The sequence below is a fragment of the Homo sapiens genome, chromosome 9, assembly GCF_000001405.40.
Source record: "Homo sapiens chromosome 9, GRCh38.p14 Primary Assembly".
Lineage (NCBI taxonomy): Eukaryota > Metazoa > Chordata > Mammalia > Primates > Hominidae > Homo > Homo sapiens.
Window position 1 is genome coordinate 17,342,879 of NC_000009.12, and position 23,517 is coordinate 17,366,395.

At 37.3% G+C, this 23,517-nt stretch overlaps 1 protein-coding gene across 19 annotated transcripts in view, besides 1 other annotated feature; it reads left to right on the plus strand.

Moving 5' to 3' along the window:
• The window catches only part of CNTLN (centlein), a 393,595-nt gene that overhangs the window by 207,839 nt on the left and 162,239 nt on the right, over positions 1-23,517 (plus strand). The window contains exon 2 of one of the 19 annotated variants that reach the window (XM_047423522.1): positions 22,403-22,499. The exons of the other annotated variants lie outside the window; for them this stretch is intronic. Coding sequence (XP_047279478.1) covers positions 22,441-22,499 — 59 coding nt within the window. The 5' untranslated portion in view covers positions 22,403-22,440. The remainder of the gene's footprint in view (positions 1-22,402; positions 22,500-23,517) is intronic. 19 annotated transcript variants of the gene reach the window in all.
• Positions 10,777-11,292: an enhancer, noted in NCBI's record as "H3K27ac-H3K4me1 hESC enhancer chr9:17353653-17354168 (GRCh37/hg19 assembly coordinates)". NCBI's record gives its function as "activates a minimal SCP1, AML or CMV promoter by ChIP-STARR-seq in primed H9 embryonic stem cells {active_cell/tissue: H9 hESC(primed)}" and the evidence as "EXISTENCE:reporter gene assay evidence [ECO:0000049][PMID:30033119]".

Here is a 23,517-nt window from a genome sequence, read left to right on the forward strand (position 1 = left end):
TCATTATGGTGTAGCCTTGCTGCTACTCTTGGAGCTGGAGCTGTCCAAGCTAATTACTGGTAGCAGCAGAACTGCCTGTTAAGGGTCTGGTGTGGATCTGCTAACATGGTCCTTGGTAGTGACCTGCAGAAGACACAAGGGAATTGCCTTCTTTCTTGCTGTGCCCTGCCTGTCCTTTGGGCTTACTGCTGATTTTTCCACATAGGTGTTTTAGCTGCCCTAAGTATAAAACTTGATGAAGGATACTCATATTTTAGAAAACATACAGTTGGTCGCTTGATCTTATAATTCACAGGCTATTATATTCAGCCTGGCAAAGAAAGAACATTTATTTATTTAATTTTAAGACTAAAAGGAGTTAGACCAATATAATTAACCTCTTCTGCTACTTAACTATTTCTTCATTTAGAGTTAATGCCTGACACTCAAGCATACAGTTTTTTAAAGCCTAGATGTCTTTCAGATTGCTAGAATATAGCCTCATTATGGTGTAATGTAATTAAATGTCACTGAATTTTCTTAGCTGTAAATGAGAAGCTTATTTTATATACTACATGATAACATGTATAACTTTTGTTTACAGCCTTTTCCATGTAATGATAAACTTTTGAGGAAATGACTAGACCATATGAGATTTAAATGTTGTATGCTCCCATTTACCACTTAAAGTGCAGTATACTCTATTAGTTCTAAATATTTGATGCTATAATGAAGGCTCTTATCTTGAAAACTATTTTATAGACTCATAGATTTGTCTCAGAGGCATTTCCTAATAATTTCAGTAGCTTTATTGAAATATAACTCACAAGTCATACAATTCACTTATATAACGTATATAATTCACTGGTATATTCAGAGCTGCACCGTCCATTATCACAATCTATTTTAGATTTACAGTTTTATCACCCCCCGCTACTCTCCCCACCAAAGCCCATATGACTTTGTTGTCACTCCCCAGCCCTCCCATCCATCCTGCCCAGCCCTAGGAAACTACTAATCTTCTTCCTGTGTTTACAGATTTGCCTATTCTAGACATTGCATATAAATGGCATCATTTAGTACGTGGTCCTAGACTATCTTCTTTCACTTAGCATAACGTTTTCAAGGTTCATCCATGTTGTAAATGTATCAATGCTTTTATCTGATGATCTTTAATGACCCTTCTGTCTCTAAAAAAGAAAGTAATTTTGAATAAAGTGAATTAGTTGAGAGACCTAATCTAACTATTCAAGAAAATTTAGGAAGGATTACCTATAAATGATTGATTTGGAGTTTATTTTATTTGTTAATGAAATAGAACTACAGAAAAAGTAATGAGGCCTTTTTAAAATTAGAGAACTCAGAATCCTGATCTGTTCACTTAGCAATATTTGCACTTTACAAATAGCTCCTTGAATTAAATGCCGTGTCATTCTTAAAGTGTGGAATTTTTCCCTGAAATATGTTAATATTCATTAATGTGAGAGCAATTTGTGAAATAGTTATTTTTTAGATCAGTCTTAATTTAGTAACAGGTAAGGAAAAAATTTTTAAAAGAATGCTAAAGAATGGAATAAACTTTAACGTAAGCTTTTTTGGGGGAGGGTTGCATTATTTTGTGAAACATTTATTCAGGTAACAAACCTGTTTGAGCGCTGTGTGATAGTCAGTCTGCTAGGTCAATGAAATGAGAATACCAGACAGACTTTCTACTCTCAGGGAACTTACATGGAAACATGTTTAGTATTAAACATTCTTAATGAAATGTGATGTTAAAAATAAATGTCAAAAATGTTAAAAACTAATGTCCAAAAGTGTCATGATAAAACAATAAGGCATTAAATATCAGTGCTATAGTCATTCAAGTTTGTTTTGAGGACAGAAATTTTTTAACATTGTATGTAGTATGTTGAATGTTTAATGTGCAATTTTATGAGTTATATCATATATATAAATTTGAGTAACTACCACTACAATCGGTATGCAAAATAGTTCTATCATCTCAAAAAATTTCCTCATCCTGCCCCTTTGTAGTCAAATCTTCCTACCGCCACTAATACCTGATTTGTTCTCCTTCCCTATAGCTTTGCCTTTTTCAGACTGTCATATGCACAGAATCATACAGGCTATTTACTTTCTGAGACTGGCTTCTTTCCGCATAATGTCTTTGAGATTCTTTTGGGTTGGTTAATCTAATATGTTCCTTTTTATTGCTAAATGATATTCCATTTTATGGATGGACCACCTTATCCATCTATTGAAGAACATTTGGGTTTTTTCTAGTTTTTTGCAATTATGAATACAGCTGCTATAGACAGGTTTTTGTGTGAACATAACTTTTATTTTTTAAGGGAAATGCCCAGGAGTTGCATTACATTCTGTAGACTGCCCTTTCATTCTCTTACCTGTGTCTTTTGAATGGCAAAAGTTTTTAATTTTTATGAAATCCAGTTTCAAACCATATCATTTTTAAATTTTACATTGCTAGTGTATGGATATTTTGCATGCTGACATTTTAGCTTGCATTATTGATAGAGCTAAGTCTGCCATGTTATTATTTATTTCCTGTTTGTTTCCTCTGTTTCCCATTTAATTCCTTCATATGGGTTACTTAAGCTTTTTTTTAGAATTTCATTTTATTTTTTCTGTAGAGTTTTTGACTATATCTTTTTGAGTAGTTTTTTTTTTTAGTATTTGCTCTTGGTATTATATTATGCATACATACCTTATTACAGTCTACTGGTATCAACATTTTATTACTTTAAGTGGAATCTAGAAACCTTGTTTTCATTTACATACCTTTACCCTTCTCCATTATAATACAGTTATCTCAAATATTTTCTCTAATTACATTGAGAACCTCATCACAAGATGTGATAGGTTTTGCTTCAACTGTCAAACATAATTATAAACCACAAAACATGGGTCGTCTCTTATGTTTACCCATAAGAGATAAATAATTTATGTATGGGTAAATATAATAGAGGTATTGTTTATCCTTTCTACTGTCCTCATTGCTAGTCTTCCAAGTTTCTTCTTTTATAGTTTTCTTTCAGTTTGAAGAACTTCCTTTAGAATTATTAAAATAAGTTGGCTGGTAAGAAATTCTCTGTTTTCTTTTAAAATATCTGGATTTCTTCTTCATTATTTGTATTATTCTGTTTTCACAGTATAAAGAAATACACAAAACTGGATAATTTATAAAGGAAAGAGATTTAATTGACTCACAGTTCCACACGGCTGGGGAGGCCTCAGGAAACTTACAATCATGGTGGAAGGTGAAGGGGAAGCAAGGACCTTTTTCGCATGGTGGCAGAGGAGAGGAGTGAGAAGTGAAGGGGGAAGAGTCCCATATAAAACCATCAGATCTCACTAGCATGAGAACACACCAGCATGAGATCTCACTAGCATGAGAACAGCATGAGAACTGCCCCCATGATCCAATCATGGGGAACACATGAGAACACACTAGCATGAGATCTCACTAGCATGAGAACTGCCCCCGTGATCCAGTCACCTCCCACTAGGTCTCTCCCTGAACACCTAGGAGATTATGGGGATTATGGGAATTACAATTCAAGATGAGATTTGGGTGGGGACACAGCTAGACCATATCACTACTGAATGGTATTTTCACCATATGTAGAATTATAACTTAGCAATTGTTTTTCTTCAGCACTTGAAAAATTTGCTACTTCCTTTTGGCCTCTATTGTTTCTGATGCAACATGCACTGTTGAATCTTTGTTCCACAATAGGTAATGCATCATTCTGTTTACTTGCTTTCAATCATTTTTCCTTTTCTTTACTCTTCAGAAGTTTGGTCATAACATGTCTTGGCATGGATTTGTTTGGGTTTATCCTATTTGGGTTTCTGTTTCTTGAATCCCTAGGTTTGTGACTTTTGTCAAATTTGGGAAATTTTTGTCATTATTTCTTTAAATCCTTTTTAAACCCTACATTTCTTTTCCTTTGACAGTTCTAATCACATGAATGCTAGATCTTTTATGATTGTCCTACAGGTCACTGAGGGTCTCTTCAATTTATTTTTCAGCCTTTCAACCTAATTTTGTCTCTGTTATTCAGATTTGGTAATTTCTATTGTGTCGTGTCTTCAAGTTTACTGATTGTCTCTTCTCTCATGAGCTCATGCAGCAAGTTTTTAATTTTGGCTATTGTAATTTTTAGTTCTAAAATTTCCATTGGGTTCTTCTTTATGTATAATTGTTTATTTGCTTAGAGTTTCTATTTAATTTATTTTAAGAGTGTTCTTTAGTGGTTCACTGGAGCATTTTAATCATGGCTGGTTTAAAGTTCTTGTCAAGTAATTCCGACATGTGTTATATCATGGTGGTGGCATCCTTTGAATATAATTTCATCCTTTGATTATAGATTTTCCTTGTACTTTGTATGATGAATTATTTTTTAATTGTCTCCTGGACATGTGGACTACAGATGTTTCTCAACCTACCTTGGGTTATGTCCGGATAAATCCATCATAAGTTGAAAATATCGTAGGTCAAAAATGTTGCTGGGGCACAGTGGCTCATGCCTGTAATCCCAGCACTTTGGGAGGCTTAGGCGGGCAGATCACTTGAGGTCAGGGGTTCGAGACCAGCCTGGACAACATGGTGAAACCCTGTCTCTACTAAAAATACAAAGATTAGCCAGGTGTGGTGGCGCACGCCTGTAATCTCAGTTACTCAGGAGGCTGAGGCAGGAGAATCGCTTGAACCCAGGAGGTGGAGGTTGCAGTGAACCGAGATCATGCCATTGCACTCCAACCTGGGTCTGGGTGACAGTAAGACTCTTGTCTCAAAAAAAAAAAAAAGAAAAAGGAAAAGAAAAAGAAAATGTATTGAATACATGTAAACTACCAGACATCATAGCTTAGCCTAGACTACCTTAAAATGCTCAGAACACTTCCATTAGTTTACAGTTGGGCAAAACTATCTAACACAAAACCATTTTATTTTATTTATATATATTTTTTGAGACAGAGTCTCGCTCTGTCGCTCAGGCTGGAGTGCAGTGGTACCATCTTGGCTCACTGCAACCCCTGCCTCCCGGGTTCAAGGTATTCTTCTGCCTCAGCCTCCTGAGTAGCTGGGGCTATAGATGCTAGCCACCACTTCTGGCTATTTTTTGTATTTTTGTAGAAACGGGGTTTCACCATGTTGGTCAGTCTGGTATCGAACTCCTGACCTCAAGTGATCTGTCTGCCTCCACCTCCCAAAGTGCTGGGATTGCAGGCATGAGCCACTGCGCCCACCAAAACCCATTTTATGATAACGCACTGAGTATGTCGTACGTCACTTATTGCCAGCCTGGGAAAAGATCAGAATTCAAAATTTGAAGTACGTTAAAATTGCAAAAGCTTTACACCATCATAAAGTTGAAAAATCGTTAAGGAGAAGCATTGTAAATCAGTGATTATGTGTATTCTATTTTGAGACTGTGGATCTTATTTAAATCTTTTATTTTAGCAGGCCTCTGATGATATCATGCCTGAGGGAGAAGGTCACGTCAATACTACTAGGAAAAGATGGGAGACTTACTCCTCCCTTTTACCTCTTTTCCTCTGCTGACATTGCATCGAGAGAGTTTGAAGGGGTTCCTGCTTAGTGTTGGTGAAAGTGCAGGCTTCTCACTCTGCTTTCTTTCTTTCTTTCTTTCTTTTTTTTTTTTTTTTGAGACGGAGTCTTGCTCTGTCGCCCAGGCTGCAGTGCAGTGGAGTGATTTTGGCTCACTGCAGCCTCTGCCTCCTGGGTTCAAGTAAATCTCCTGCCTCAGCCTCCCTAGTAGCTGGGATTATAGGCATGCGTCACCACGCGGGGCAAATTTTTGTATTTTCTGTAGAGATGGGGTTTCACCATGTTGTCCAGACTGGTCTTGAGCTCTGACCTCAAGTAATCCACTTGCCTTGGCCTCCCAAAGTGCTGGGATTACAGGTGTGAGCCACCGTGCCTGGCCCTCACTCTGCTTTCATTGACGGAGCATGGCTGCTTTTTGTTTTGTTTTTTCCCCCTAGTTGATTATGGCTGGAGTAGGGTGGGCATGGTGAGCAGGGTTTTTGTTTTACTGGTCCTCACCTTTCCTGTACCTTTGGCTAGAGAGAGTAGGCTTTCCTTGAAGCATTTTTTGTTTCTGTTCATTGGCACTTCTAGGTGGTGAGTTTCTCTAGGAACTAGCTTGGGGTAGGTAGGAGGAAAGAAGAAAACTCAAGGAACTCACCACTGTGAGTCACTTCTCTAATGTTGTTCCACTACTCCTGAGCTCCCTATTCTATCCTTCTTCTTTTCCCTACTTTTCAAAGTCTCATGTTTGTTTTATTATGTTCTGGGTTTTTATAATTAATTAGCAGGAGGAATAGAGATAAATACATCTACTCCTTGTTGGGAAACAGAAGTTTCAGCTTGTTTTTCTATGGGCCAGGCAGTCTTACTTTTGAGTCATTCATTAATATCTAGTTTCATACTCAGTCTTAACTGTTTAAGTAATAAGATGTACCCCTTTTTCTGCAATAATGTTTCTTTTAAATGTAAGGTTAGAATCTACAAAAAAAGATATACTATTAATACTACCTTTCAACTGAATTTAAATAGTACTTCCAAATCGAATTTTAAAAGTTAACTTTTAAAGACTTTTATAAAACATTGTATGACAACTGTACATCAATTTACAAAATATAGTTAAAAATATAATGCTACCACTGACTGAAATTATAGAGTTTCTACCATTGAGTATGGTCGGAAATATTAGTTGCTGCTATCGCATAGGAATCTGAGGACTTAAAAAACTTACATGGAATATAGTTCCTATAATATTTCATTTATATTTATAAGATATATCTATCATATCATAACTATATTTTAATAAAAAGGCCAAGAACTTAGTAATCTGTGAACTGATAAATTGGCTGGTTCCTTCAGTATTTAATGAGCATTCATGTGTTCATTTATTCATTCATTCAATATTTTAACAATATAATTCAGAGCCAGGCACTAACCAGGGGCTGAACATACAGTATAGTTTCAAGCTCTAGGAAGGCTTAATTTAAATAGGGGTATCTGCCATTTGCTAGTTAGGTGAAACCACTCTTTGGAAGCTAGATAGTAAGAGGCAAGCTTTCAGAAATGCCAGCAGGCTTAGTCAGCTTTCTCACTCAGTTGAAGTTGTTGCCTTACCAATGCTAAATTAGATGAAGTACCCATCACAGTCCAACATATGTTAACATTCTTCCAAGTGAAAGTATTAGTAAAAAAAGTTTGTGTACATTCTTTCAGAATGGTGATATAAAACTATAATAAGGGGCTCAAGTGCAGCAGAAAATTAAGCTTCTCTAATCCAGCAAATTATATATTACACATTGTCAACCACAATTGCATGTTTTTGCTAGGAATCCTGGGTGTACTGACATTCGTGTGTGTTTTCTGTGACCTTGGCTAAGTAAATCAGAAATGTGCAGTGGTTTAGTAATAGGTCTTTCTATACTAATCTGTAGCCTATGTAAAATGCTTTAGATGGGTACTTTTTTAGGCACAGGTAAACAAAGAGAAATAATGTTACCCCTTTTATCAGGTCCTCATAGCTTAGCAGAGAAGACAAGCAAAAGTGTGATTAAAAGCAATAATAAGAGAATATTAGGGACACAAGGCAGGGAAAGCTGTATTCTGCTTGTGAGTGGAAAAAGAGGTAACGCAAATCTCTTGCTGATATAACAAAACGCCATAGGCTGGGTGGCTTAACAGACATGCATTTCTGATAGTTTTGGAGGCTGAGAAATTCAAGATCATGGTGCCGATGGATTAGGTTCCTGATGAGGGCTCTCTTCCTGGCTTGTAGATGGCTGCTTTCTCAGTGTATTATCACATTTCAGATTTCTCATCTTAAAAAGCCACTCAGTCCATCATGAGGACCCCTTTCTATCCCTAATTGCTACTCAAAGTCCCCATCTCCGACTATCATCACATTAGGGGTTAGAGTTTCAGCTGAGTTCAAATCTGATGTATGAACACAGTTACAGCTGACCAACATATGTCATATATAACACATATGTCACATACAGATTTTGAGAGGACGTAATTAAGTTCATAGCAATCAATATTTTAGACTACAATTTGTTAAGCATAATTAAATCAAAGACAGAAAAATCTAGGTAAATTGTTAAATAACCAGGAGGTAACTAAAGGATACTTTTTCAAATTCTCGCCAGTATATGAAAAAGCTGGTCACACTCTTTAAAACAAATTTTTTCTTCAACACTCTGGCACCATCTCTTCTGGTTTTATCTCTGTACCTCTGGCCACCTATTCACATTCTCCATTGCCAGCTTTTCCCCCTGAAATCAGCTGTTTACTGTTGCAGTATTTTTGAACTTTGTCATAGGCGTTCTCTGTACTTCATTTGCATATTTGCCTATGACAATGTCATCTATCATCCCATGATTTTAGTCATTTCTTGCCAGTTGACTTTCAGACCTGTATATCTAGCATAGAACCCTCTTTCTGAACTGCAACTAAGTATATCCAAATGTCTACACAACATCTCCTTTTGGAGGTCTCACTGAGATTCAACATGTTTGAAACCAAATTCACGATCTCCAAATTTATTCCCGTCCATTATTCTAAATCTTAGTAAATGGTATTATAATCTATCAGTTTCCTCAAACCAGAAACCATGGTGTTATAAGTTTATGTATTATTTTTTTTCTGACCTCCCCTCATTGAAGTCCATACTAAGCCTTAATATTTCACATCACAAACATCCTATCTTATTTCTTTCCATCCTCACTGTTACGCCCTTATTCATACCACCACCATTTCTTCCCTAGTCAACTAGAATAAACTCATAAACATCTGCATCCACTCTTATCTCTTCATATCTATTTTCAACAGTGCTGCAGATTGACCTTTTAAACTATAGTTCTGAGAATGTCTCTCATCTGTTTAAAAACTTTAAGTATCTTTCCATTGCTCTTTAAGCAAATCTGAGTTCATTATATAACACACTTGAATATCAGCTCCCCCCTTTTATTTTTTTACAATTTCTGCTTTCCCTTTTGTTTCATATCTAAAAATAAGTATGAGAATGCAAAATACTTGCACAGAATTACTAATGTTTTCCTAGCTGATACTGAGAATTCTGGGTGGCAAGTTTGTCAATGAAGGCAGTTGAGCTGGAGTCAGTAGTAAAGGGGTTTTGAATTCATAATACAAAAACTTTTTTATTTCATAGAAGTAGGAAATTTTACCCCCATGTATTATAAGTAGATATATCTTCTTTATTTCAATGATCTTTTGGTCATTTTTCCTTAATGATAAAATGTAAGCTACAGATCAGTGGCATAGCTCGGATTGGAGTACTTCTCTTTGGGGTTAAATATTAAATATATGTTGGCCATAGTTTTAAAGAATATCCTATAAAATCCATAATAATTGCTTAAGTAGCTAAAATCAAAATATTATCCTAGGAAAGTTCAGCCATTATTTTTTTCCTCTGCAAAGCAAGACTCCCAATCTTCTCAAGCTAGAATATATATATATATATATATATATATATTTTTTTTTTTTTTGGTATGTAGAAATGAGGATTTTAGGAACTGCATTTTTCTGAGATGGAAAGAAAATGCTTAGCAAAAAATGTCTGCCAATGATGACATATTTTGAAAACAAATGTATTTTCAGGTAACCATTAACAATATATAAATTTCACATTAGTTGTATTTTAAAGCATAGAATTCAGTGGCATTTAGTGCATTCACAGTGTTGTTTAGCAGTGAACTTTAATTCAAAAGCATTTTCATCACCACTGAAGGAGACCCCATGCCCATTAACCAGTCAGTCTCTGTCTCCCCATTTGTCCCTTCTTTCAATTGCTGGCAACCGCTTATCTGCTTTCTGTTTCTATGGATTTACCTATTTTGAATATTTCATATAAATAGAATCATACAATATGTGACCTTTGTGTCTGGCTTCTTTCACTTAGCATAATATTTTCAAGATTCATCCACATTGAAGCCTGTGTCAAAAGTTCATTACTTTTTTATGGCTGAATAATATCCCTTTGTTTATGTATACCACAATTTGTTTCTCCATTAATCCCTTGGTGGACATTTGGGTTCCTTCCACATTTTGGCTACTCTGAATAGTGCTGCTATGAACATTTGTATACAAGGGATTGTTTGAATACCTGTTTCCAGTTCTTTTGGGTATAAACCTATGAGTGGAATCACTGGGCCACATGCTAATCTATGTTTGTTTTTTATTTTTCTATTTTTTGTAGGGTCGGGGTCTCACTTTGTTGCCTAGGCTAGTCTTGAACTCCTGGCCTCAAGCGATCCTCCCATGTCAGCCTCCCAGAGTACTGGGATTATAGGCATGAGCGATAGTACCCTGCTTTATGTTTAATTTTTTAAGGAACTGCCAAACTTTTTTTTTTTTTTTTTTTACAGTGGCTGCACAATTTTATATTGTTTGCCGTCTATGAGGGTTCTAATTTCCCCACATCCTCACCAATACTTGTTATGGTCTGTTTTTGTTTTGTATTATTTTTGTTCTTTATTATCGCCAAAATTGTGGGTTTTGATTTGCATTTTCTTAATGAGTAATGATGCTGACCATATTTGCATGTGTTTCTTTGGCCAGTTGTTTATCATCTTTGGAGAAATGTCTGTTCGTGTCCTTTACCTATTTTGAAAACTGGGTTGTTTATCTTTTTTTATTGTAATAGTTTTGTTTTCGTTTTTTTTTTTTTTTAACTGAGACGGGGTCTTGCTCTGTTGCCCAGGTTGAAGTGCAGTGGTGTGATCTTGGCTCACTGCAACCTCTGCCTCTTGGTTTCAAGCAATTATCCTGCCTCAGCTTCCTGAGTAGCTGGGATTACAGGCGTGTGCCACTGAGAGGTGACAGCGTGCTGGCAGCCCTCAGAGCCCTCGCTTGCTCTCCGCACCTCCTCTACCTGGGCTCCCACTTTGGTGGCACTTGAGGAGCCCTTCAGCCCACCACTGCACTGTGGGAGCCCCTTTCTGGGCTGGCCAAGGCTGGAGCCCACTCCCTCAGCTTACAGGGAGGTGTGGAGGGAGAGGCGTGAGCGGGAACCCGGGCTGTGTGCGGTGCTTGTTGGCCAGCTGGAGTTTCGGGTGGGCGTGGGCTTGGCGGCCCCGCACTCGGAGCAGCCGACCAGCCCTGCCGGCCCCAGGCAATGAGGGACTTAGCACCCGGGCCAGTGGCTGCGGAGGGTGTACTGGGTCCCGCAGCAGTGCCAGCCCACCGGCGCTGCGCTCAATTTCTCACAGAGCCTTAGGTGCCTTCCCGCCGGGCAGGGCTCGGGACCTGCAGCCCGCCATGCCTGAGCCTCCCACCCACTCCATGGGCTCCTGTGCAGCCCGAGCCTCCCCGACGAGCACCACCCCCTGCTCCAGGGCGCCCAGTCCCGTAGACCACCTAAGGGCTGAGGAGTGCAGGCGCACGGCACCGGGACTGGCAGGCAGCTCCACCTGCAGCCCCGGTGCGGGATCCACTGGGTGAAGCCAGCTGGGCTTCTGAGTCTGGTGGGGCCTTGGAGGACCTTTATGTCTAGCTCAGGGATTGTAAATATACACCAATCGGCACTCTGTATCTAGCTCAAGGTTTGTAAACACACCACTCAGCACCCTGTGTTTAGCTCAAGGTTTGTGAGTGCACCAATCAACACTCTGTATCTAGCTGCTCTGGTGGGGCCTTGGAGAACCTGTGTGTGGAAACTATATCTAACTAATCTGATGGGGACGTGGAGAACCTTTGTATCTAGCTCAGGGATTGTAAATGCACCAATCAGCGCCCTGTCAAAAGAGGCCACTTGGCTCTACCAATCAGCAGGATGTGGGTGGGGCCAGATAAGAGAATAAAAGCAGGCTGCCCGAGCCAGCGTTGGCAACCCGCTCCAGTCCCCTTCCACACTGTGGAAGCTTTGTTCTTTCGCTCTTTGCAATAAATCTTGCTATTGCTCACTCTTTGGGTCCACACTGCTTTTATGAGCTGTAACACCGCCAAGATCTGCAGTTTCACTCCTGAGCCCAGCGAGACCACGAGCCCACCGGGAGGAAGGAACAACTCCAGACACGCTGTGTTGAGAGCTGTAACACTCACCGCGAAGGTCTGCAGCTTCACTCCTGAGCCAGCGAGACCACGAACCCACCAGAAGGAAGAAACTCGGAACACATCTGAACATCAGAAGGGACAGACTCCAGACGCGCCACTTTAAGAGCTGTAACACTCACCGCGAGGGTCCGCAGCTTCATTCTTGAAGTTAGTGAGACCAAGAACCCACCAATTCCGGACACACTGGTTAATTTTTGTGTTTTTAGTAGGGACGGGGTTTCGCCATGTTGCCAACACAGGCTGGTCCTGAACTCCTGACTTCAAGTAATCCACCAGCCTTGGCCTCCCAAACTGCTGGGATTACAGGTGTGAGCCACCGTGCCCAGCCATAGTTCTTTACATATTCTAGATGTTAGACATTTGCAAGAGTTTCCTCCCATTCCGTAGGCTATATTTCCCCTTTTTGATAGTATCCTTTGATGCATGAAAGTTTTTCATTTTAATGAAGTACATATTGTTTATTCTTGTTGTAGCTTATGCTTTTGGTGTCATAATCTCAGAATCCATAATGAAATCCCATAGTCAGAGATTTATCCTCATGTTTTTCTGTAGTTGTTTAATAGTTTTAACTCTTATATTTAGGCCTTTCATCTACTTTGAGTTAATTTTTTATATGTGGTGTGAAGTAGGGGGTCCAGTTTCATTTTTTACAGGTTGATACTCAGTTATCCCAAATAATAATTTCTGTAGGTTTAGAAAACAGGCAGTATGATTATGTGCAATAATTAATGAGATTGATTAATAAGATAAGAACTTGAATGTATCTGTGCCTAAGAAATCAGTCCAGGCTGGGCGCAGTGGCTCACGCCTGTAATCCCAGCACTTTGGGAGGCTGAGGCGGGTGGATCACGAGGTTAAGAGATCGAGACCATCCTGGCCAACATAGTGAAAGCCCGTCTCTACTAAAAATACAAAAAATTAGCCAGGTGTGGTGGCGGGCGCCTGTAGTCCCAGCTACTCGGTAGGCTGAGACAGGAGACTGGTGTGAAACTGGGAGGTGGAGCTTGCAGTGAGCCGAGATCACGCCACTGCACTCCAGCCTGGGCAACAAAGCGAGACTCCATCTCAAAAAAAAAAAAAAAAAAGAAAAAGGAAATCAGTCCAACAGGAAAAAGCATTGCATATCATAAGTCAAGAGCAAATCAGAATATTAAGGTCAGAGATAATAGTTTAATCAAGAGTTGTGTAAGTTTTTCTTATCAGGATCTGTTTTAAAGAAAGACAATGAACTTCAAGGCTATGTGGCAAAAAGTTTTGAATGTTAGTTACTTTATGATTGATAATCAAGCACAAGAAACTCATACACTAAGATTGTAGCTCAGAGGAAGTAAACTCATCTGTTAATTATCCCTAGGTAAGAGTGGAAAGTTTCAGAATAAGATTAACCTAAAACCTAATTATTTGCTAAGTTAGAGTACTGAAGCCTATGGTCAATTATATTCCTCTTTTCTATGTCTTGAATGCTTCAGAGTCTGATGCAACATGACTTATAGATAGGCTTTGAGCAGTGACTCTTGATGCTCTAAAAGTACTAGGGCTTGGGACCAGGTAAACCGTTATAGCTAAGAAAATAATATATGGGAAAATGCTTTTAAACTATGGAGTTTTATAATATTAGTTACATGTAACTGAATCTGTGTGACCTTTTGTGCTGCTTTTGCTTTCCTTTGTTACTTCAATAAATATGCTGGGCACTATAAGTAAAATATTTAGCAGAACACACATGGCTCCTGGCCTCATAGAGCTTCAACTTATTGGAGAATGCAAATAGTAATCAATAAGCATACAGATATGTAATTTAAAATTGTGATTAATATGAAGATAAAGCTCTTCTATGCGTTTCCATTTTTATGTTTTTCCCCTTATTCTTTCCACTTTTTCCCCTTTCTGTTTCCTGCCCTCCCCATATACCTAAAATATAGAAATGATTTACACATTTGTTTGCTGTACAATTAGCCTACACTGTAGGTGAGAATGTATTATGAGTGTGTGTGTGTATATATACATATTTGTTTCTCATTTCCTACTTCTCACAGCCCCTGTCTCTTTCTGCTTTCTGTCTCTATGGATTTGCCTATTCTAGGTGCTTCATGTAAGTGGAATCATTTAATATTTGTCTTTTTTGTATGTGGATTATTTCATTTACTATTTCTTCAAGATTTATCCTTGTTGAACCATGTGCCAGAAGTTCCTTACTTTTTAAGGCTGAATAATGTTTCATTTTATGTATATACCACATTTTGTTTATTCAGCCATTGATGGATGTTTGGGTTTTTTCCATGTTCCAGCTTTTATATTTTTTAGTTGTATTCTAATTTGTATTTTGCTATAAAGTCAACAGGATTCTTTGTATCCTCCACAGGCAGATATATCACTTGAGTAAATGGCAAGTATATTTTGGAATTTTATTTTGTAACTCTGGAGATTAACTTTCAATGTTTATCCCTTAGGTTGTATTCAGACATGAGTCCATATACATATGATATTTATTTTTTGAGGCCATACATATATTATTCTAAATTTATTTACTACTATAGTTTGTTTCCACATATTTTGGGTACCATGTATATATATAAATACTACATATATATATATATAAATACTACATATATATATAAATACTACATATATATATAGTATTTTTAAATTTTCTTAAAGAATTACATAAGAAAATCTTGAGTGTTATAATCATTTGATTTTTCTGTGAAAAGACAGCAAAGTTACTTTCCATAAGTCAATTTTGTCACACGAACTCATTCTATTTGATAGTATTTTTTTCTTTAGAATAAATAACCTTAACAATGTTGGGTTTGAACATCTGAATTGAATGCTAATGACTAAATAATAAAATTTATTTTGAATGACAGGAAACTGATACAAAGGGTTTGTTTAGTCTGGAAAGTATTTCAGGCTTTAGAACAGTTTGTTTTCAGTGTAGATTAGTTGCTTCTTAAGAAACTTTGTTCTGAAGAAAAGAATGATATATAATCAAATGTAGGAATGTTACAGGTAAAGTTATCTTCAGATATAAAAAAGTTTTAAATTTGGTAATATATTTTCCAATATTTGTAGTTTTATCTAGGGAATATAAAAACCCTTGAGAGAAAAATTTTACTCTTAAAGAGATTCTTATGATGTTTTTAAAGGTAGTGAAACAGGATGCATGAATAAGGGTGTTCGCTGCAGCAGTTTGGTAATAGTGAACAATTAGAAGCAATCTAAATGTCTCTTAGTGATAGATACAAATACATTGTGATACATTAATATAATTTGATACTCTACTGCATTTAACATGCATAAACTAGATCTAAACTTATCAAAATAGAAATGCTTAAAAAGCAAAAGTTGATTGAAAAGAAGAAAGTTGAATAACAGTATATATACTATGATATAATTTCTAAGTGTAAAATGTTTAGAAATCACAAAATGATACTATATATTTTTGTAGATGTATATGTAGACATACACATTTGTAAAAATATAGTTACACATAACTGCACACATGTAGACGTACACGTGTGTATGTACTACATATACACTATACACATACATATATCAAAAATCAAAGTGATGAATTAAATATGGCATAATGTGAATATTTTAAAATCTAGTTGTTACATTAATGTTGATTATATTATTTTCCATACTTTTTTAATGTTTGAAATATGCTTTCTACTTTTTAAAGTATGTACTAAAAAAGTAATAATTCTACTTCTAGTTAGAAACACTAAAAGGAATCTTGTATATGAGCACATATACAAGAATGCTCACTACAGCATTGTTTGTAATTATGGAAATTTGGAGACAACCAAAATAGCAGATGATGTAGCTACATAGCTAAAATTCCAAAAAAACCTATTTAATAGAATATTTTAGCCAACTCCAAACCCAAAAGTCAGTTTTAGATTGATTATAGTCTAAATGTGAAGGGTTAAGCAGTAAAGCTTTTAGAGGAAAACATAGGAGAACATCTTTGTGACTTTGTAGTAGGCCAATATTTATTCCTCTCCTCTCCCCTCCCCTCCCCTCCCCTCTCTTTTTGAAATAAGGTCTTACTTTGTCACTCCGCTGGAGTGCAGTGGCACAATCTCAGCTTGCTGCAGCCTCAACTTCCTGGGTTCAAGTGATTCTCCCACCTCAGCCCCCCAAGTAGTTGGTACTACAGGCGCATGCCACCATGCCTGGCTAATTTTTTGTACTTTTGTAGAGATAGGGTTATGCCATGTTGCCCAGGCTGGTCTCAAACTCCTGAGCTCAAGCAATCCACTTGCTTTGGCCTCCTAAAGTGCTAGGATTACAGGTGTGAGCTACTGCACCTGCCCAATTTCTTAAACCAGGCATAAAAAGCACTAAATAGAAATGAAAAATTGATAAATTGGCCTATGTTAAAACCAAGAACTTAATGTTCATTAAAAAATACCATTAAACGAATTAAAAGGCTACTTTCTGAGTATGAAAAGATATTTTCAGTATATATGTCCAGGAAAGTAGTAGTACTCAGAATATATGAAGAATTCCTGTGACTAAATAAGAAAAGGACAGTCAACCCAATAGAAAAATGAGCAAAACACTTGAACAGATATTTCACATAAGAGGACATCCAGGCCGAGTGCGGTGGCTCACGCCTGTAATCCCAGCACTTTGGGAGGCCGAGTCGGGTGGATCACGAGGTCCGGAGATCAAAACCATCCTGGCTAACACGGTGAAACTCCGTCTATACTAAAAATACAAAAAAAAAAAAAAAAAAAAAAAAACTAGCTGGGTGTAGTGGCGGGCGCCTGTAGTCCCAGCTACTCAGGAGGCTGAGGCAGGAGAATGGCGTGAACCTGGGAGGCGGAGCTTGCAGTGAGCCGAGATCTTGCCACTGCACTCCAGCCTGGGCAACAGAGTGAGGCTGTCTCAAAAAAAAAAATAATAATAAAAATAAACAAATGAGAGGACATACGGACATACTAATGGCCAATAAGCACATGAAAAAGTGTTCATCTTGATGTGTCTTATTTTTCTAGATTTTTAAATTGGAAGCTTGCATCATTATGGATATTTCTTTTTTTCCAATTTAAGTATTGTATGTTGCAATATAGATATCCATCTAAGGATTGCTTTTGCTGTGCCTTACAAATTTTGAAGTGTATTTTAAATTTTTCTAAGTTCAAAATAATTCCTAGTTCCTCTTGGATTCTTCTTTGAAAGTAGAACTGTTTAGAAGCATTATAGAAAAATGTTATTCAATGAAACTTGTTAAAGTTTGGTAAAGAAGACTATTTAGGACCATCATCATAGGTAGGGACCACTGCAGTCGGATTTTGCAGTTGGGGAGAAAATTGGACTCAACTCCTAATACAGCATGGGTAAGTGGGAATTTATAGCTAAGGTAGAGGTCAGTGGATTGGAAAATTAGTAAGAGGAAACATCAGTGGGAAGGGAGATTCTGGCTAAACTGACCTTATCAGGATTTTGATTGAAGACAGGCTAGGGTGATCAGATACAGCCTAGGGGGTGGTGGAGGATGAGGAACCCAGTTAGATATTGGCCTTGATTTATATATTGTGGTGGAAGAGATTCTTGCTAAACTGACTTAGTGGAGTTCCTTGCTAAGACTGGATTTTACAAGGAAGTGCACAGATGGGCTTAGGAGAAGGTTCAGGAGAGTTGACTAAAGATTGGTTAAGCAGAACCTCTTTGTCAGAAATAGGTTCTTTAGTTTCAACTATTTTGGGATTTTGCAGACGTCCTTCTGGTATTTATTTTTAATTTTATTATTCTATTGTGGTCATAGAAGATGCTTTGCATGATTTTAAAATGCTTTTAGCTTTACTGAGAATTGTTTTATAGCCCAGCATGTGGTCTTATCTTGTTGAATGTTCCATGGCACTTGAAAAGAATATTTGTTTTGCTGTTGTTGGGTATGGAGTGTTTTATAAAACATTCAGTTAGGTCAAGTTTTTTGATAGTGTTTTTCAAATGTTCTGTATCCTTACTTATTTCTGTCCACTTTTTCCATCAATTACTGGGAGAGGTGTGTTAAAATCTCAGTTTAAATATCTTCAGTTTTTTTTCCATTTTTTTAAATTATTATTATACTTTAAGTTTTAGGGTACATGTGCACAACGTGCAGGTTTGTTACATATGTATACATGTGCCATGTTGGTGTGCTGCACCCATTAACTCCTCATTTAGCATTAGATATATCTCCTAATGCTATCCCTCCCCCGTCTCCCCACCCCACAACAGTCCCCAGTGTGTGATGTTCCCCTTCCTGTGTCCATGTGTTCTCATTGTTCATTTAAAACACTTTTTTAGCACAGGTTTTAGAGTATCATTTACTAGAGGCTTGTTTATCTCTACTCATTAGAATGACCCATCTGTGTTCTCTATTGAATGCCTCTGATGTTCAACTAAGATTCTCTCTTCTCTGACTGGTCGCAACTCAAATGTATCCCAATCCTGTGTGAGAAATATTCTGGGAATATTCTGTTTATAGCTCCTGTTGTTCTTTGCCTGGCCTTGTTGTGTTTCATACTATGCACATGCAAAAAAAGAAATAAAGATTAGCCACATACTCAAAGGAATTCTTATGCAGATTTCTTTAGCTTTTTTCCACTGTAGATTCCTCCTCACTTGGTCATATGCCTCACAAATTCTGGCTGTTTTAGACTTCCTAAACTGCAGTCTCTTGTTTCAACTCAATGAGACTGTCATGTTCTTCTTGGGACCCCTCTCCCTGTCTGGAAAGTGCTTTCAGGCAGAAATCGAGCCATCATTAAGGGCTCTCTCTGTTTATTTGCTTTCTCTCAGGGATTACAGTTCTGTGCTGCCTATTGTCCAGTGGCCGAATACAGTTGTTTCCTATCATTTGTCCAGTAAGAAATAGATTTTAAATTGTGGTCCTCATACCAGAGTATAAGAAACACCAGTGTAAGTGGATAGTAAATCAGAGTCAGTAGCTAGTCAGTGCTCATCCTGGTCAGGAGTACCAGGGCTCTGCCTCTGTCAGCTCCTCCCTCAAACACACAGTAAGATATGGTTTGTTGGTGCTTAGTTTGACTCAAGAACAAGGTGGTCCCTGATGTCTGTAAATATTTATTAAAAGTAGGGACTGTGTGTGTTCTTTCCAAAAGAAACAAGCTGTAAGTATAAAGTATGTTTTAAGAAGCAAGAAATAACTTTTCCAACAACTGCAGCCCTACCTTCTGTTGGGTTAGTGATCTGAGAGCCAAGGAAAACTAAGTTGAGGTAAGTTACACCTGCTTTTTCTTTGTGGGGCCATCTTGCTTCAGTATGTTCCACGTTCTTAAATAAACAAATCAGGAACCTAATCCAAGCTTAATCATTGTGTGGTTGAGTGTATGTGTGTGCATGTGTATGTGTTCCTCCTATCAATCTGTAATGGACCTGGGAAGCTGCCAGTATATATCATGGGATCCCAGTTTTTAAAATCCTTATGTGTGTGAATTGATGTTTATAATATATGAACAAAAAATGAGAGTATACATATCAAAGTGTAAACATTATTTTTTTTCCAGGAAGTATACTGAGTGAGGGGAAGGAGAGGCTACCTAATTTTTACTTCAAATAACTTTTTATTGTTTGAATAATTATAACAATAATTACAACAACTTGTGTTGTTGAGTACATAAAAGTCTAGAACTAATGTATTTTCCTGGTAAATCATTTTTGATCATTGTGTGATGACTATCTTTATTTTTAATTTTTTTCTTGCACGTTTTATTTTCTTATGCTCCTTTTTTTAAAATTATACTTTAAGTTCTGGGATACATGTGCAGAGTATGCAGGTTTATTACATAGGTATACACGTGCCATGGTGGTTTGCTGCACCCATCAACCCATCATCTACATTAAGTATTTCTCCTAATGCTATCCCTCCCCTAGTCCCCCATACCCCAACAGGCCCCAGTGTGTGATGTTTCCCTCTCTGTGTCCATGTGTTCTCATTGTCCAACTCCCACTTATGAGTGAGAAAATGCGGTATTTGGTTTTCTGTTTTGTTAGTTTGCTGAGAATGATGGTTTCCAGCTTCATCCATGTCCCTGCAAAGGACATGAAGTCATCCTTTTTTATGGCTGCATAGTATTCCATGGTGTATATGTGCCACATGTTCTTTATCCAGTCTATCATTGATGGGCATTTGGGTTGGTTCCAAGCCTTTGCTATTGTGAACAAACATACAAGTGCGTGTGCCTTTATAGTAGGATGATTTATAATCCTCTGGGTATACCCAGTAATGGGATTGCTGGGTCAAATAGTATTTCTGGTTCTAGATCCTTGAGAAATCGCCACACTGTCTTCCACAATGGTTGAACTAATTTACATTTCCACCAGCAGTGTAAGAGCATTCCTGTTTCTCCACATCCTCTCCAGCATCTCTTGTTTCCCGACTTTTTAATGATCACCATTCTAACTGGCGTGAGATGGTATCTCATTGTAGTTTTGACTTATGCTCCTTTTTAAAAATGACTTTCTTGCCTTTGATTTGATACAGTTTTTTTTTTCATTTCTCTTCTGACCTCTAATTTTTATTTTTTATATTTATTTTTTATTCTTTAAATAATTATTCTTGAAATTATAACATACATCATTTATTTGACAAAGTCTAAAGTTCATCACTAGCTGTATCCTCCTACAATACAAGGACCTTGAAATGTTTAACTATGGTATCTTTGATGATCCAATATCGTTTTGTTGTTGAGAATGTTAGTTCTACCTTATTTTAGCTCATTCAGATATTGCTATGATTGCTTTAGATAATAAATGTTTATTTAATTCCTTGTATATATCTGTTAGTGTCTTTCTTCATCACTGCTTATTTTGTTTTATACCTTGCTTTTGAGTACATTTTCTTCTTAAAATATATATTTTAATGATTTTTTCATCTAGGATCTATGAGTAGTAAACTTTGGCATGTGAAAGATATTAATTATTTTCCTTCTGGCTTTGTTTGTTGATATGAGAACTCTGCTGTTATTCCAGAGATCTTTAGTTGTTAGAAGTGTTTTCTTCTCAATCTGGTTCATTTAAAGATTGTCTCTATCTTTGTTGTCCTGAAGTTTCACTAAGACATTTTTAAGTGTGAACAGAGTTTTATTTACTCTTCTTGCAATTTTTTGATACTCTTTAAGGCTATTAATTCATATCTTCATCAGTTCTCAAATCCTGAGCTATTAATATTTTGACTGTTATCTCCCATCTGTACTCCTGCCTTCAGTCTTTCAATTCTCTCCTTGAATAATTTCTATTAAATGCTTTCTATACTTCTTATTGCAACATGTTTTGTATACCTCTACTGTTTTCCTTCCTTTACCTCCTTCTGCTCTCTTCCATTTTATCAATTTCCATTAGCTTTTTCTACTTGCTATTGAACCCATCCATTGAGTTTTAAATTTCTGGTATTATGTTATTATTATTAATTTTCATTGCTTTATTTCATATTTTTAGATATATTATTTGATTATTTTTGTCTATTTTCTGTTTCATAAACCCCTGTTCTTTTTTAATATATGTTTATCACTTCTTTATCTTTTTAAAAACATTTTAAAAACTCTAATGGTGAAAGTAATTTTGATTATTCTCTTATCTCTATTTTATTGTTTTACATTATCCCATTTTGGGCAGTGGGATATTTAGACTGTCATTCATGGCTTTGAACTTATTTATATACTTATTGTCTCCATGCTTGACTCGAGAATTATTTTCTGTGGTGGCTTTTCTCCCATACATTTTCTTAGTTGTGGAAGCCTCCCTTTAGGGATGATTGTGTCTTCCTGAACCCTCCAGTATACTCTGGCCATATGTCCAGTTTTTGTATTATTTTTGATTGTTCATGTTTCTGTAAATTGTATGGCTCAGTTTTGAACCTATTGATTTAGGCTTGGGATTCTGATATCATGTGGTTGACTCTGTCCTGTCCCCATCCTAGGGCTGGAGAACTATTTTAGTGAAACTCTAACCAGATAAGTTCAGATATTCAGGTTTTCATTCAGCAGATTGTTTTCTCCCAGTTTCCTGTCGTTAGCTCATTTTTATCTGTCAACCAGGTAGGGCCATGGGTCTAAATGTCCATCTGATATGGTTTGGATTTGTGTCCCTGCCCAAATTTCATGTCGCATTGTAATCCCCAGTGGTGAAGGAGGGGTCTGGTGAGAGGTGACTTGATCATGTGGGCGGACTTCCCCCTTGCTGTTCCATTGATAGTGAGTTCTCATAAGATCCGGTTGTTTAAAAGTGTGTAGCACCTCCCTCTGTGCTCTTTTCCTCCTGTTCCAGCCATGTAAGACCTGCCTGCTTCCTGTTCCCCTTCTGCCATGAATGTTAAGTTTCATGAGGCCTCCTCAGCCATGCTTCCTGTACAGTCTGTGGAACTGTGAGTCAATTGAACCTCTTTTCTTTATAAATTACGTAGTCTCAGGAGGTTTTTTTTATAGCAAAGTGAGAATAGACTAATACACCATCCCTACTCAGGTCTCACATTCTGAGGTCCCCATGGGCAGTATTTGGTTCTGGTCAAATACTCACAATGGTAGCTCAATTCTGTTTTACTGGAAAGTCTTTTTGCCTTTATTTGGCATCTAGGAATTTACCATTCTTGTTTTCAGTGTTATGTATTAACATTTTTCATTACTATTTTGCCTAGAATATCTCTGTGTTAGGATGTGGTTGAGCATGGCGGGTGTTGTGGCTCATGCCTGTGATCCCAGCATTTTGGGAGGCCAAGATGAGTAGGTTGCTTGAGTCCAGGAGTTCAGCCTATGCAACTTGGTAAAACCCTGATTGTACAAAAAATTAGCTGGGCATGGTGGCACACACCTGTAGTCCCAGCTACTTAGGAGGCTGAGGTGGGAGGATCACCTGAGCCTGGGAGGTAGGGGCTGCAGTAAGCCACGATTGTGCCACTGCACTTCAGCTTGGGTGACAGAGTGAGACTTTGTCTAAAAACAACCAAGAAGTGGTTGAGCAATTTAATACATAATTTTTAAAATTATATAGTCTGTATTTTAAGTGTTTAGCATGTTTATTGAGATAAAGTTAACAGAAATAACTTACTTAAAACATTTGATTTTCCAGGTCCTCAGTAAATTCAATTGTAGTTTTTTGGATTTGGGCATATTATTACTATTTTTTATTTTATGGAGACAAGGGCCTAATCTTTTGCCCAGGCTGTAGTGCAGCAGTGAAATTATAGCTTACTGTAACCTTGAAGTCTTGGGCTGAATTAATCCTGCTGCCTCAGCATCCCAAGTAGCTAGGACTACAGGTGCGCGTAACCATGATGGGCTAGTTGTTATTGTTGTTGTTATTATTATTATTATTGTAAAGACAGGGTCTCTCTGTGTTGCCCAGGCTGGTCTTGAACTTCTAGTCTCAAGTGATCCCCTTGCCTT